Genomic DNA, 14788 nt, shown 5'->3' on the forward strand with positions numbered 1-14788 from the left:
CCTTTTGGTCCTAGACTAAGAGCTTGGTATGGGGAAGAACTTTTTTTTTTTTCTTTTTTTTTGAGACAGAGTCTCACTCTATTGCCCAGGCTGGAGTGCAATGGTGCAATCTCAGCTCACTGCAACCTCCGCCTCCAGCGTTCAAGCAATTCTCCTGCCTCAGCCTCCCGAGTAGCTGGGACTACAGGTGCGTACCACCACGCCAGGCTAATTTTTTGTATTTTTAGTAAAGACGGGGTTTCACCATGTTAGCCAAGATGGTCTCAATCTCCTGACCTCGTGATCCGCCTGCCTTGGCCTCCCAAAGTGCTGGGATTACAGGCGTGAGCCACCACGCCCGGCTGGGGAATAACTATTTTTGTCCTGCTTGCCACGATATTCCTAGTACCTATGATGGTGTCCAGATTGTAATAAAGCCTTAATAAATATTTGTTAATTGAATCAATGAGTCATTAGAAGGAAGGAGGGGAGGGAGGGAGGAGTAATGGAAGACAACCACCACTTCTTGGTGTCTCTGTGATCCTGGCTTATAAAAAACATCAGAACCAAGATTAGAAACCAAGCCCTTTAACTCCCTCTTGGCCCTGCCATTGGGGGTCCTCAATCATGTTATGATGCACAGAACACATACCTGTTTACAGAAGTTTCTACACTACAACACAACCATGAAAAATGGAGCCACAGGTATGACCCTCAATCCTTAAGAAACTTCAAAAGGGGAGAACAATGTTTTTGTCCAGCTATTCCCCCACAGAAGGACACCCTTCCCTCTGGGGACTGTTGTCTTTCCCTTTTTAACAAGGCTTCATGGAAGACCAGAGCATAATAGGTCTTTAATAACTGAGTATAACAGTAGTTGGTGCTCAGTTCCCTTTCATAAAAGAAGTTCAAAAGCACTTTGGCTCAAACACCACCATGCCCCTGGGAACTACGAAGGTACAAGTATCATTATCCCCATTTACAGTCAGGGAAAGTAAAGCAAAGGGAGGCTACTTAGCTTGCCCAGGGTCAGACAAGACAGGGAAAGGGCCTAGGATTCAAACCCTTTGGAGCAGCCAGCAAGTTAACTCTGACTACCCTAAGAGTATCACCTACATTGGGCTTAAGGGAGGCTTTTCTTTCTTCTCTATGGTTTCTGCTGAGAATCAGTATATGACATGGTGCTCAGAGCTCTGCCTGGGAGTCATACTGCCTGGTTTGAATCTGATTCTGTTCCCAACTAGCTCGACCTCAAACACTTTACTTAACTTTTCTAGGCCTCAGCTTCTTAACATACAAAATGGTAATAATGGTACGTATCTCAGAAACCGTGAGGATGAAATGAGACAGTGTATGTAAAATGCCACTATCATTCACTTTCTCATTTTCTAAATGAGCACGTATCATTCTCATAGTAAGAAAACCAGCTACATGAGAAAAAGCTTGCACCCACTCTGCGTTTAGTTTTTACAAATCTACAGATGACATATGACTAGCAGGCATTTCAGATTCTGCCAATAAAATGCCCCAGGACTCTGAAAGTGACCTGCAACACAAGCGTCCTATTTGATTCCCACTAACTTGTGTTGGTCTCTCCAGGTTAGCAGAGCAAGTGGCATCGTGGACAACTGATGGGAGGACCAAAAAGGGATCTGAAAAGCTGGCCAATGGCACCCAGTCTAAAGAGTCCCACTCTGGATTCCTGGTGAGTGGAGCCCCTGGGTTTGAAATGCCATTTCTCTCAGCGCTCTGCTGAGTTACCCAACTCCGCTCAGCCCAGATGAAAGACAACCAATGCTTTCTAGATACCACTGTGTTCCTGATCAAGTAATCAAACAGGAGATGGTCAGAGTTGCCAGTGTGGCCCAACCCTCTATAGAGGGGCCTGGTGATGGCAGGGACTGGCAGAGAAGTAGGGATAGGGTGGGGGTAGGAAAGCTGTCCAGTCAATCTTGGTATACTCTCAACAAAGAAACAGTGATATACATGTATGTGTGTCGCTGATGCATTTATGAAGAATGGCTGCAAAACTCCAAGACTACTTAAGAGTCACTGCCAAGATAAGAAGCTTTAACTCACACAGAGAGGAGCAGAGAACACAGACATTCCACTGTAGACGACAAGCTGCTAAGCACTGGCAACATTCATTCATTCAACTCAAGAAATGTTTGCTGATGACTTAGGGACTCGGAAAAAAGGAAGCTCAATAAAATGCAGGACACACAGACACACATACCAGGACTGTCATCAACCTAGCTGATGCTTCCCTCATCTTCAGGGGACCAGGCCAGAGAAATAAGGAACCTGATGGGAAGAAACTCAATACTCTGGCTGGCCTCAAAAACCTCCCAGGACAAGGAGAGCCTATTCCAGCCGCTCTTCGTAATGTCCTGTTCTGTCTTTTAGTGTGGACTCAAATATTCTCCTAGACCCCAGGAAAAGTTCCCATGCAGTGACTTCCCACTGTTCAGAATTCAAAAGTAAAATCCAAACTCCTAACCACAGCCACAAATTTGGCCCCTGCTGATTCATCACTAACCACACTCCAGCCCCTCTGGGTTGATCATTCTTGCAGTCCTCTCTGTCCACAAAGCTGTCCCCCTAGATCACCATCCATGTCTCCCAAAAGCCACCTTCTCAGAGCTAAAGTTATGACCCTAACCCTCGTCCCATCCACTTTCTATCTTCTGTTTTATTTTCCCCCGTATCTCTTTCACCACCCTACATTCTTTTTTTTTTTGAGACAGAGTCTTGCTTAGTCGCCCAGGCTGGAGGGCAGTGGCACGATCTTGGCTCACTGCAAGCTCCGCCTCCCGGGTTCACGCCATTCTCCTGCCTCAGCCTCCTGAGTAGCTGGGACTACAGGCGCCCGCCCCCATGCCCGGCTAATTTTTTTTTTTTTTGTATTTTTAGTAGAGACGGGGTTTCACCATGTTACCCAGGATGGTCTCGATCTCCTGACCTGGTGATCCACCCGCCTCGGCCTCCCAAAGTGCTGGGATTACAAGCGTGAACCACCGCGCCCGGCCTCACCACCCTACATTCTTTTGTTGACTCGTTTATTTGTTTACTATCTGTCTCTCCCACTAGAAGATAAACTTCATAAGAGCATGCCTCTTAAAGACCGTGTTCTTGGCTACGTCCATAGCATCCGCAACAGTGCCTAGCACATAGGTGCTCAATCAGTCATTCAATTCAACAAATATTTTCAGAGTACTACAAAGTTTAGGTACTATATTATAAGAGTAGACAAAAAGAGACAAAAATCTCTGCTCTCAAAGAGCTTAAATGCTGGTGGGAGCTAAGAAGCAGATAAAAAAAGGCGAAATAATGGTTACTTCAATTTAGCATATACCAAGTGCTAGGTGGTCTTCTGAGTATCTACTAGGTATTACTTAATTTAATCCTCCCAACAACTCCATGAGGAAAGTATTACTATTGTGCATATGGGGAAACTGAGACACAGAGAGATTAAGTTACCTGCTGAAGATCATGCAGCTCCTGAAGGCAGAACCAAGATCCAAACCTGATGGTCTTGGTACAAAGTCCATGGTCTAATTAAGAGCTACACTTCAGGCCAGGCACGGTGGCTCACGCCTGTAATCCCAACACTTTAGGAGGCCGAGGTGGGTGGATCGCCTGAGGTCAGGAGTTCGAGACCAGCCTGACCAACATGGTGAAACCCCATCTCTACTAAAAATACAAAAATTAGCCAGACGTGGTGGCACACGCCTGTAATCCCAGTTACTTGGGAGGCTGAGGCAGGAGAATCGTTTGAACCCAGGAGGCAGAGGGTTGCAGTGAGCCAAGATTGTGCTATTGCACTCCAGCCTGGGCAACAAGAGCAAAACTCCATCTAAAAAAAAAAATAATAATAAAGAGCTACACTTCATATTTGCTGAGTGTCAAGTGACTACTTGGTCAGCACCAGCAGCAGCTGTTCCCCACAGGCAAGGATGGAGAGAGCAGATCCATCAAGGAAGGGCTGCCCTGTCATGTGAGCCCTGTGAACAAGACACTGCTGGGTTTACACTATATTGCACCCTGGATGAGGAGTCTACAAGAAGCATGGTCTGATGAAAAGACAGGGGCAGGGGCAGGAGTCTTGGTGCGATGAGATGCCCAGGCAAGTCAACCAATATTTGAAGAGTTTACATTTTGTGCAGGGCGCTGATTCAGACACTGTGGACGATGCAAAGACAAACCCAGTAGAGATTCTGGCCTCAGAAAGCTTAGAGTCACATGTGTACACATGGAGATGAAATGGGGTAGAAACTAGCAGGCATCATAAGAAAATGCATAAACTGCTATAAGATTTCAAAAGAGCCAGCTTCTAGGGGACACAGACGCTTAACCATAAAAGAAGGGGCTGGCCTGTGTAACCCCCAAGGTCCTCTCATTCTGACATGTTCTGACAGCACAGATTTGGAGCAGCATGGAGATAAGTTTTATTCTGTTTTTTGGGGAGTTTTTTTGTTTTTTGTTTTTGAGACAGAGTCTTCCTCCGTCGCCCAGGCTGGAGTGCAGTGGCACGATCTTGGCTCACTGCAACCTCCACCTCCCTGGTTCAAGCGATTCTCCTGCCTCAGCCTCTCGAGTAGCTGGGATTACAGGCACTCGCCATCATGCCCAGCTGATTTTTGTATTTTTAGTAGAGACGGGTTTTCACCATGTTGCCCAGGCTGGTCTTGAGCTCCTGACCTCAGGTGATCCGCCCGCCTTGGCCTCCTAAAATGTTGGCATATACAGGGGTGAGCCACTGCACCTGGCCTCATTCTCATTAATAGCTCAAGTTTGTGGCCACTGAAACATTCTCCTACCTACCATGAGAACAGGCCCAATTTCCTGGTGCAACATCTTCCAACAGTGGCAGTAATGTTCCCATTTAAACAATACAACCGGATGTGGGAATGAAACCCAGTGTATTATGCCCTCCTCCACCTCTAACTGGTTTTTAAACCCACAAACCCTCTCCAATCAAGGAGGCGGGGACCTGTTCTGTGAGCACGTTGTTATGGGACATCTAACTCTCAGTCTCCAAAGTTTTGCTTTGCAGCTCTCCCAGAGGGAACAGACTGATTCCACCTCTTCGTTTCCACTGCCACTGCCCCGATCCCTCAAGCCACCATCATCTCTTGCCAGGCAGCTGCAATAGTCTGTCTCATAACTGGTATTCCTGCCTCCACCTTTGCTCCTTAGAATCCAGTCTCTACACAGTGGCCAGAACAATCTTTTGGAACAAATCAGACTTTATTCTTTCTCTGCTTAAAACCCTCCAATGGCCTCTAACTGTTCTTGGAATAAAATCCAAACTCTTTATTACGACCTACAAAATCTTTGTTTTGATCTACAGGTTCTTTTTCTCCACCCCCGCCCAAGACGGAGTTTTGCTCTGTTGCCCAGGCTGGAGTGCAGTGGCGCAATCTCGGCTCACCGCAACCTCCGCCTCCCAGGTTCAGGAAATTCTCCTGCCTCAGCCTCCCAAGTAGCTGGGACTACAGGCATGCACCACCACGCTCAGCTAATTTTTGTATTTTTAGTAGAGACAGGGTTTCACCATGTTGGTCAGGATGGTCTCGAACTCCTGACCTCGTGATCTGCCCGCCTTGGCCTCCCAAAGTGCTGGGATTACAGGCATGAACCACTGAGTCCGCCCTGATCCACAGATTCTTTTTTTTTTTTTTTTTTTTTGAGACGGAGTCTCGCTCTGTCGCCCAGACTGGAGTGCAGTGGCGTGACCTCGGCTCACTGCAAGTTCCACCTCCCGGGTTCACGCCATTCTCCTGCCTCAGCCTCTCCGAGTAGCTGGGACTACAGGTGCCCACCACCACGCCCAGCTAATTTTTTGTATTTGTAGTAGATATGGGGTTTCACCGTGGTCTCGATCTCCTAACCTCGTGATCCGCCCGCCTCGGCCTCCCAAAGTGCTGGGACTACAAGCGTGAGCCACCGCGCCCGGCCACAGATTCTTATATGTAATCTGGCCCCTCTCCATCTTCATAGCACTTACCACTACTGAAATTATTTTGTCCACTTGTTTGTTTACTCACTTATTGTCTGACTTTCCTCCTCTTTAAAATGTCATCTCTGAGGAGGGCAGAAACCGTGTCTGTCTTCACCACTAAAGCCCCAGTACTTGGAACGGTGCCTGGCACATAGTAAATGCTCACTACTGAATGAATGAATCTCCATCCCATAGAGGTGATTTGTATTTACAAGGGAGGACCACGAACTCCCCCAGCAAACCGTGAATGACACATTGGCATTTAACAGCCCGCACCTTTATTTATGATCCAAAGTCCTACTTTAAATCTGAGGAAGCTGCTGGTATCTCTGGACATTTTAATGGCACAAGAGATCAGTTATCACTTGGGGACACACTCCAGGAACTGGAGCCCAGTGGTTGTAGCAGGGAGCTAAGAGCCAAGGCTCCTGCGAACAGAACTTCAAGACAAACCATGACTTGCCTCCAGGTCCCTTACCCACACACCCTGTACCTCAATTTACCCAGCAGTTGGCCAGACATGTTCCTCTCAGTTCTGTGAGTGACAGGAGACAAAATAATTCACAGCTGGAGCATACTGAGATCCTCAGACAGGAGGTGGTGCAAGCCACACGTCTCATTATTCATAAAACTCTTGATTTGCGGCCAACACGGCCCCCGCCGCCTTCCCAGGGGCTAACCTGACAACAGGCACTGCTCAGACAAGTTCAGCTCACAAGGCAGAGGGAGGGATGGAGGGCCTAGCAGAGGCTGGGTGTCCAGACCTGAGTGTCTCGGTTACCAGGTTCCAAAAAAAGGAAGGTGGTTGGGGTGGGGTGATGAAAAGGAGGTGAGAGGTGCAGTTTGGGGCTCCAGGTGGTTAATTTTGCAGGTTCGTGCATACACGCCCGCCATCCAGGTGAGATATGTGCCCCCACCAGGTACCTTCCAGGAAGGCTCACCGGGGAGGGGTGGAATCGGGAGACGACAGTTCAATCAAACTACAGAGGGAGGAAGGGCGGCCCAGCGTTTAGTTTGGGGAAATATGGAGAGTAAGAGTCTCAGAGTGGGCGCAGGTGAGGGAAGAGGCAGGGGCCCAGAGGTCGGGAGGGCGGACGGGCGATGACAGGCACCCGGACGCGGTGAGGTGAGCAACAAGGTGGGCGGCGCGGACACCTGTGGAGGCGACCCCCGGGCGAAGAGTCAGGGAGGCGGGAGGTGGTCTGCGGCGAGAGGCGGCCAGGCCCAGACCAGGGCGCCGCGCCGCTGGGGCAGTCAGGGGTCCGAGCGGGGTCGGGGGCGCTCTCCGCGGCCCCTCCCCGGCAGACAAAGGGCTGGCCGCTCCCCCAAGCCCCGGCGCGGCGCGGCGCGGGCCCGGGCGGTGCAGGCGCGGCCCGGCCTCGGCGCTTACCTGGGCCGCCCGACCCGGCCGGGCCGGCAGGGGCAGCGGGTCCGGCGCGCAGCGCGCGGCGGCCTGTTCCGGGGCGTGCTCAGCCCGAGCAGCCGCTGCGGCGGCGGCAGTAGCAGCAGCAGGAGCGGCCGCCTCAGCCTCCGCCTCCCGCTCCGAGAGTCACCGCGGTGGGGAGGGAGGGAGGCGCCAGGCCGCCGGGGGAGGGACCGGCGGAGGGGGCGGCATCTGGCTCCGCGCGGGCTGCTGAGGCGCGGCGGCGGCAACGCCCCGGAGGGAGGCGGGCGCGTGGGGCCGGGCGCCGGGGCGGGGCCTGCGGGCGGGGCGGGGCCCGGGGCCGCGAATTGGTTAACTCAGCCTGTGGGCGGGGCTGCGCGGTGCGGGGCGGGGCCTTGTGGCGCATGTGAACGCTCATTGGGCCCTCCTGGAAGGGGGCGAGACCAGCGACATAGGGACGGGGCCATGCGGTGGGCGGGTGGAACACGGCGCCGGTAGTGAGTGGCCGAGTCCGCGCTGAGAGCAAAGGGGAGGAGCGGGCCGGGGGTGAGCAGGGAAGGCGGGTTGGGCGCGAGGAGGAGGCGGTGGCCTGGAGGAGGAGCCGGGTAAGGCTGAAGCTGGCGCTGCGGTAAAGCCACTCTGCGTGTCCCTATCTGCTCCAGGAGCACAGTGTTCCGGAAAAATAATGGCCTCTCCCACACACCGGTCTGTGTTTAAAAACGGGAGCAACAAGACGGGGCAGAATCCTTGGTGAGGCCAGTTTACCCAGAACCCCGGAAAATTCTGAAATGGACGAGGTTGCAGAACATTTAGAGGCGTGGTCTTCCTGCGTCGTTGAGCTGGGAACGTTGCTACCTCTGAGCTTGGGGCCTAACCTGGGATTAACCTAGCCCAGAGAGCCCAGGGATGGGCCTCCGTAGGTCCATTAAACTCAGAAGGTCGTGTGTACTGGTAGTGAGTGGATTTTTCGGGGGAAGGGTGCCCATGATTAAAATGTTTCTACAGAAAGTCTGGCTGTATTTGGAGAGGGTACAGGGAGAAGCAGCCCATTTTAGGTAAAATGCAAATTGCTTTTAACATCCGCCTTCCTTTTAAAGGGACCTGTATCTTTAAGTGTGGTCTCATTTTCAGCAGTTTAAATTATCAGTTACACAGTGTGACACTAACCCCAGTTCAGAAGCCCTCCTACCCTACTCCTCCCACAGCCTTTCTTTTTACACCTTTTCTGTACCATCCTCTTCCACTCCACATTTCTTCCCCTTCCCTATGCAAAAAGAATACGAAGTCCTTTTTTGTTTGTTCGTTTATAATATAATATCCACATTACTCTTTACTCATTTGGGGGGTTTTTTTGTTTTTGAGAGGGAGTCTCGCTCTGTCGCCCAGGCTCAGGTGCAGTGGCGCGATCTTGGCTCACCGCAACCTCCGCTTCCCGGGTTCAAGCGATTCTCCTGCCTCAGCCTCCTGAGTAGATGGGATTACCGGCATGCGCCCCGGCTAATTTTTGTATTTTTAGTAGAGACGGGTTTTCTCTATGTTGGCCAGGCTGGTCTCCAACTTCTGACCCCAAGTGGTCTGCCCGCCTCGGCCTCCCAAAATGCTAGGATTACAGGCCTGAGACACCGCACCCGGCCTGCTCACACTTTTTCATACTTAATAGGTCCCCGGCCGGGCGCAGTGGCTCATGCCTGTAATCTCAGCACTTTGGGAGGCCAAGGCAGACAGATCACCTGAGGTCGGGAGTTGGAGACCAGCCTGACCAACATGAAGAAACCCCGTCTCTACTAAAAATACAAAAATTAGCCGGGCGTGGTGGCGCATGCCTGTAATCCCAGCTACTCAGGAGACTGAGGCAGGAAAATCGCTTGAACCCGGGAGGCGAGGGTGCAGTGAGCCGAGATTGCGCCATTGCACTCCAGCCTGGGCAACAAGAGCGAAACTCTGTCTGAAAAAAAAAAAAAAAAAAAAATTGGTCCCCAAGTGGGTTTCTCCTACAGTGTCCCCACCTTCAGTAACTGGCACCACTCTCTACCCAGTTGCTTACACCAGACACTTAAATTGTACCGTTGACACCACTCTTTCCTTTATTCTTCATTTCCAGTCCATGTTGTTTCCAATTCTAAATGGTGTCCTTAATCTCTCCACCTCCTACCATCTCTACCCCTCTTTCCCAGTTTAACCTGCCACCAGCTATCACCTTGACTCCTGCAATAACCCTTCAAGCAGTCTCTCCTTTAGGCTCTCCTTACGCCCCCATTCACTGCCCACACAGCAACTAAAGGAAACTTCTTAAAATCTTGTCAGACCTGCGCTATTCAACGACTTCTCTTCATTTTCACGAGGAAGTTCAAAGTCCTTAGTGTGGCAACAAGGCCTTACAGGATCTGGCTACAGCCTGATCTTGAACCACTTTTGCCAACTGGGCTCTAGCCACATATGGGCCTTGTGCCTGTTCCTTGATCACAGGGAGCTCTTTTGTGCTTCAGGTCTTCTGATTGCGCTGTTCCCTTGGCCTCAATGGCTCTTTTCCGATTTCTCCCCACTTCACCTGCCTGAATACTTGGTCTACTTCCGGGAGACCTCTTAATGGATGCTAGCCCTAGTCCCACAGCATGGCTATAAACTCCAGGAGGGCAAGGACCATGCCACCAAGCACAATACCTGTATCCACAAATATTACTGCAGGAACAAACTGAATGTGTAAATACTCCATCCAGGACTTTCCCTTCCATCGGCCGGCCAGCCACTCCTACTCCCCGCCTCCGACCCCCAGGGCTATCAGCCTTCTCCTCCTTACTCTTCTCTCACTGCATTTATGGTTCGATATTTTCTCCTTTCAGCTCTGGAGAGGGCCTCCGTGTGGTCCCAGAACATATATTAGGTATCTTTTTTTTCTTTTTTTTGAGATGGGGTCTCAGTCTGTTGCCCAGGCTGGAGCACAGTGGTGCAATCTTGGCTCACTGAAACCTCCACCTCCTGGATTCAAGTGATTCTCCTGCTCAGCCTCCTGAGTAGCTGGGATTACAGGCACCCGCCACCATGCCCAGCTAATTTTTTGTATTTTTAGTAGAGACGGGGCTTCACCATGTTGGCCAGGCTGGTCTCGAACTCCTGACCTCAAGTGATCTGTTGGCCTCAGCCTCCCAAAGTGCTGGGACTACAGCTGTGAGCCACCATGCTGGCCTATTATGTATCTTTAAATAGTTGCTTTCTGGAGCAAAAAAAGAAAAAAAACACTATTTTTTTTCTCTTTTTTTTCTTTCTTTTTTTTGAGATGAAGTCTCATTGTCGCCCAGGCTAGACTGCAGTGGTGTGATCTTGGCTCACTGCAGCCTCCGCCTCCTGTGTTCAAGTGATTCTCCTGCCTCAGCCTTCCTAGTAGCTGGGATTACAGGCATGCGCCACCACGCCCAGCTAATTTTTGTATTTTTAGTAGAGACAGGGTTTCACCATATTGGCCAGGCTGGTGTCAAACTCCTGATCTCAAGTGATCCACCCGGTCTCAGCCTCCCAAAGTGCTGGGATTATAGGCGTGAGCCACCGTGCCCAGCCAAAAAACTGTTCTCTACAGCAAAGGATAACTATAAGAGTAAAATTTTCAGGCGAAGTATGAAATAACAGTGCAACCATAGCAGGCTGCAGGGAAGGATAACTGTTTTTTATTTATTTAGAGATGGGATCTCCCTCTGTCACCCAGGCTGGAGTGCAGTGGCATGGTCCTAGCTCACTGTACCTTAAACTCGCAGATTCAAGCAATTCTCCTGCCTCAGTCTCTGGAGCAACTAGGGCTACAGGCGTGTGCCACCATCCCCCAGTTAATTTTTTTTTTTTTTGAGACAAAGTCTTCCTCTGTCACCCAGGCTAGAGTGCAGTGGCATGATCTCAGCTCACTGCAACCTCTGCCTCCCGGATTCAAGCGATTCTTCTGTCTCAGCCTCCCGAGTAGCTGGGATTACAGGCGCCCACCACCATGCCTGGCTAATTTTTGTATTTTTAGTAGAGACAGGGTTTCACTGTCTCTACCAGCCAGGCTGGTCTTAAACTTTTGACCTCAGGTGATCCACCCACCTCGGCCTCCTGAACTGCTGGGATTACAGGCATGTGCCACCGCACCCGACTTTTTTTTTTTTTTTTTTTTGAGATGGGGTTCACCATGTTGCCTAGGCAGCTCTCTTAACTCCTGGTCTCAATCAGTCCTCCTCCCACCTCGGCCTCTCAAAGCACTAGGATTATAGGCAGAAGAGCTATTTTAAAGCAGTTGGGGGTTTATGGCAACAACTTAAATTTTACTCTATAAGAAGGTCTTCTGCTTACAAGTTGAGCAAGTACAAGGTCAGAATGAGTAAATTAATAACTTCCAGTATTTAGAAAGTGAAAAAATGATCTTTTGCTCTGGTCTCTTTGTTTGCCATCCTGTTTGCATTTGGTATAGCTCTAACTTCTCTGAAGACAGACAATTAAAAGGAGGCTAAGTGCACAGCAGACAAAGAGTGTCACAGTCATGTGTCACCCTCTTGTGTTGTGCCTTGGCAAATACTTGTCATCTAATTTTACTTTGGAGATGATAAGGAATTATTAAACACAATGATGAAAGCATTTTGTAGATCGGTGAATATACATATTTTGTGTCATGAGTGGGGTATGTGCAGCTGTGAACATCTGGCTCTCTGCCAGCATGCCCCCCAAGTGTTAGTCTCTGTAGCATCTGATGAGTAGATCTTCCCGACATCACAGAACCCAGCTTTTATGTGTTTGGGAACAGTATAAAGAAATAATTATTCATTTCTTTGGCTGAGTGTTTTGATCAACCAACATGTCTTCTAAGTGTATTTTGTCTGTGAAGCCTGAAACATTCTAATCACCTAGTAAAGACAAAGCAACATAAGACCTTAATTTGGATCCATATACTCAGCTGATTAGCCTTTAACCATAGCAGTCTGTTTATCACCTTTTTTTCCTGCTGGTTATTGTCTAATTAAGGACCCAAAAAAATGACCATCCCTAAAAGCAAATAGCCTGTACCCTCTGGGAAAAATTAAATAACTGTCTTCCCCCACTCTCCCTGGCATATAAATGGCATTTCATAGCTGTAGATGTTGCAATGATATCAGTGTATTCAGATGAGACTGAAAAGACCACTCCTGACAAGCAATTCTTTCCTCATCTTATTGAATATAGATTGCCCGGTAGTTTGTTGTTGTAAACAAGCAGTAGAGTCTGTTATTATTAAACATCTATAACTTTGCTCCTGACCTTCACCATTGTAAGACAGTAGCAATTTTTTTTTTTTTTTTTTGAGAAGGAGTCTTGCTCTGTCGACCAGGCTGGAGTGCAGTGGCACAATATTGCCTCACTGTAACCTCAGCCTCCTGGGTTCAAGCAATTCTTCTGCTTCAGCCTTTTCAGTAGCTGGGACTACAGGCGTGTGCCACCACACCTGGCTCATTTTTTGTATTTTAGTAGAGACGGGGTTTCGCCATGTTGGCCAGGCTGGTCTCGAACTCCTGAGCTCAGGCAATCCACCCGCCTCAGCCTCCCAAAGTGCTGGGATTACAGGCGTGAGCCACAGCTCCTGGCCAACAGTAGCAATTTTTAAACTTATCCCAGGCCAGGCACTGTGGCTCACACCTGTAATCCCAACACTTTGGGAGGCTGAGGCGGGTGGATTGCCTGAGCTCAGGAGTTCGAGATCAGCCTGGCTAACATGGCGAAACCCCATCCCTACCAAAAATTCAGAAATTAGCCAGGTGTGGTGGCGTGCACCTGTAATCCCAGCTACTCGGGAGGCTGAGGCAGGAGAATCAATTGAACATGGGAAGCAGTGGTTGCAGTGAGCCGAGATCACGCCACTGCACTCCAGCCTGGGCAATAGACTGAGACTCCATCTCAAAAATAAAAATAAAAATAATAAAAAATATTTTTGAGACTCCATCTCAAAAAAAATAATAATAAAAAATAAATAAACTGGCCAGGCGCCGTGGCTCATGCCTGTAATCCCAGCACTTTGGGAGGCCAAGGCAGGTGGATCACGAGGTCAGGAGTTCGAGACCAGCCTGGCCGACATGGTGAAATGCCGTTTCTAAAAATACAAAAATTAGCTGGGCGTGGTGGTGCACGTCTGTAATCCCAGCTACTTGGGAGGCTGAGGCAGGAGAATCGCTTGAATCCAGGAGGCAGAGGTTGCGGTCAGTCGAGATTGCGCCATTGCACTCCAGCCTGGGCAACAAGAGCAAGACTCCCTCTCTAAATAAATAAATAAATAAATAAACTGACCCTAGACTATAAACTCTCCTGTTTATATATCTCGTTCATATGTTCATCTAGTTTTTTTTTTTTTTTTTCTGAAATCCTTTGCTATTTGTAACACTGAGGTCTAGCTTGCTGCAGTGTGACAGACACTTAGATTTTGCCTCCAGTCCAGCAGAGACTGCTAAATCTAAATGAACTTTGTGGCTCATTTCCACCCCACTTTCATTACTGTTCTTTTGGGAAATTACTTCCCATCAGCAGTATTTGCCCCAGCTGGTGAATCAGAGGGGGCTCTTTTTTATAGATAATAAACAGTAAAGACTGAGGGCAGCAGATCCATCCCCTGGTGTTAGCTAATGAAGAGCCTCACATGAAAGCTTATGCAGCGGGGACAGGCATAGCGTTAATATCCTGGGATCCAAGATTACACACTCTTCTCTCACATGCTGCTGAATAGATAGTAATGATTATTAATTATTTAAGCAAAGAACATGAGAGCCAACACAGGCAGCAAAAAGAAAGAGAGAGAGAGAGAGAGAGAGAGGGAGGGAGGGAGGAAGGGAGGGAAGAAAAGAAAGCTGCACTCTAGGATCTTCTATTGAAATCATTTTAATTAGTACAAGCTATGGAGCCAAGGGAAATAGACCAAGATACTTAATAGCGAAAGAATTTTTAAAAACTCTCTACCACTTTTCTTTCTGTAAAAAAAAAAAAAAAAAAAAAAAACAAGAGCTGAGGTTATATATTTGTATACACTGCTGTCAAAACGGAGTTTGAGAATGGAATTGCTTCCACAGGCTCCCTTCTGTGATAGCATATCAAAGAAAAAGGGTGAAACCTTCAGGAGGTTTTCATTCCAAATCTCAAATTTCCTGTCATTCCTGGTAGTTTTACTTTTTCTCTGTAGATTTCATGGTACCTGGTTTCTTCCTATTCAATAAGCTGTGACACACTATTTTATTTTTATTTTTTATTTTTATTTATTTTTTTGAGATGGAGTCTTGCTCTCTCACCCAGGCTGGAGTGCAATGGCACAATCTCAGCTCACTGCAACCTCTGCCTCCCAGGTCAAGTGATTCTCCTGCCTCAGCCTCCTGAGTAGCTGGGATTACAGGCGGCCGCCACCACACCTGGCTAATTTTTGTATTTTTCATAGAGACAGGGTTTCACCA

The 14788-nt window shown here is 48.9% G+C and overlaps 1 protein-coding gene across 5 annotated transcripts in view, besides 5 other annotated features; it reads right to left on the reverse strand.

Annotated features, from left to right (window-relative positions):
- CTNNBIP1 (catenin beta interacting protein 1) overlaps positions 1-7548 on the reverse strand; it is a 61994-nt gene extending 54446 nt beyond the window's left edge. For all 5 annotated transcript variants that reach the window (NM_001012329.2, NM_020248.3, XM_047425762.1 and 2 more), the window contains exon 1: positions 7374-7548. The gene's annotated coding sequence lies outside the window, so the exon portion shown is untranslated. The remainder of the gene's footprint in view (positions 1-7373) is intronic.
- Positions 7096-7155: a silencer, noted in NCBI's record as "silent region_237". NCBI's record gives its function as "represses an Ori minimal core promoter by ATAC-STARR-seq in GM12878 lymphoblastoid cells {active_cell/tissue: GM12878}" and the evidence as "EXISTENCE:reporter gene assay evidence [ECO:0000049][PMID:35858748]".
- Positions 7326-7385: a silencer, noted in NCBI's record as "silent region_238". NCBI's record gives its function as "represses an Ori minimal core promoter by ATAC-STARR-seq in GM12878 lymphoblastoid cells {active_cell/tissue: GM12878}" and the evidence as "EXISTENCE:reporter gene assay evidence [ECO:0000049][PMID:35858748]".
- Positions 7396-7995: a silencer, noted in NCBI's record as "silent region_239". NCBI's record gives its function as "represses an Ori minimal core promoter by ATAC-STARR-seq in GM12878 lymphoblastoid cells {active_cell/tissue: GM12878}" and the evidence as "EXISTENCE:reporter gene assay evidence [ECO:0000049][PMID:35858748]".
- Positions 8143-8816: an enhancer, noted in NCBI's record as "H3K27ac-H3K4me1 hESC enhancer chr1:9970922-9971595 (GRCh37/hg19 assembly coordinates)". NCBI's record gives its function as "activates a minimal SCP1, AML or CMV promoter by ChIP-STARR-seq in primed H9 embryonic stem cells {active_cell/tissue: H9 hESC(primed)}" and the evidence as "EXISTENCE:reporter gene assay evidence [ECO:0000049][PMID:30033119]".
- Positions 8817-9489: an enhancer, noted in NCBI's record as "H3K4me1 hESC enhancer chr1:9971596-9972268 (GRCh37/hg19 assembly coordinates)". NCBI's record gives its function as "activates a minimal SCP1, AML or CMV promoter by ChIP-STARR-seq in primed H9 embryonic stem cells {active_cell/tissue: H9 hESC(primed)}" and the evidence as "EXISTENCE:reporter gene assay evidence [ECO:0000049][PMID:30033119]".

The sequence above is a fragment of the Homo sapiens genome, chromosome 1, assembly GCF_000001405.40.
Source record: "Homo sapiens chromosome 1, GRCh38.p14 Primary Assembly".
NCBI classification, from domain to species: Eukaryota; Metazoa; Chordata; class Mammalia; order Primates; family Hominidae; genus Homo; species Homo sapiens.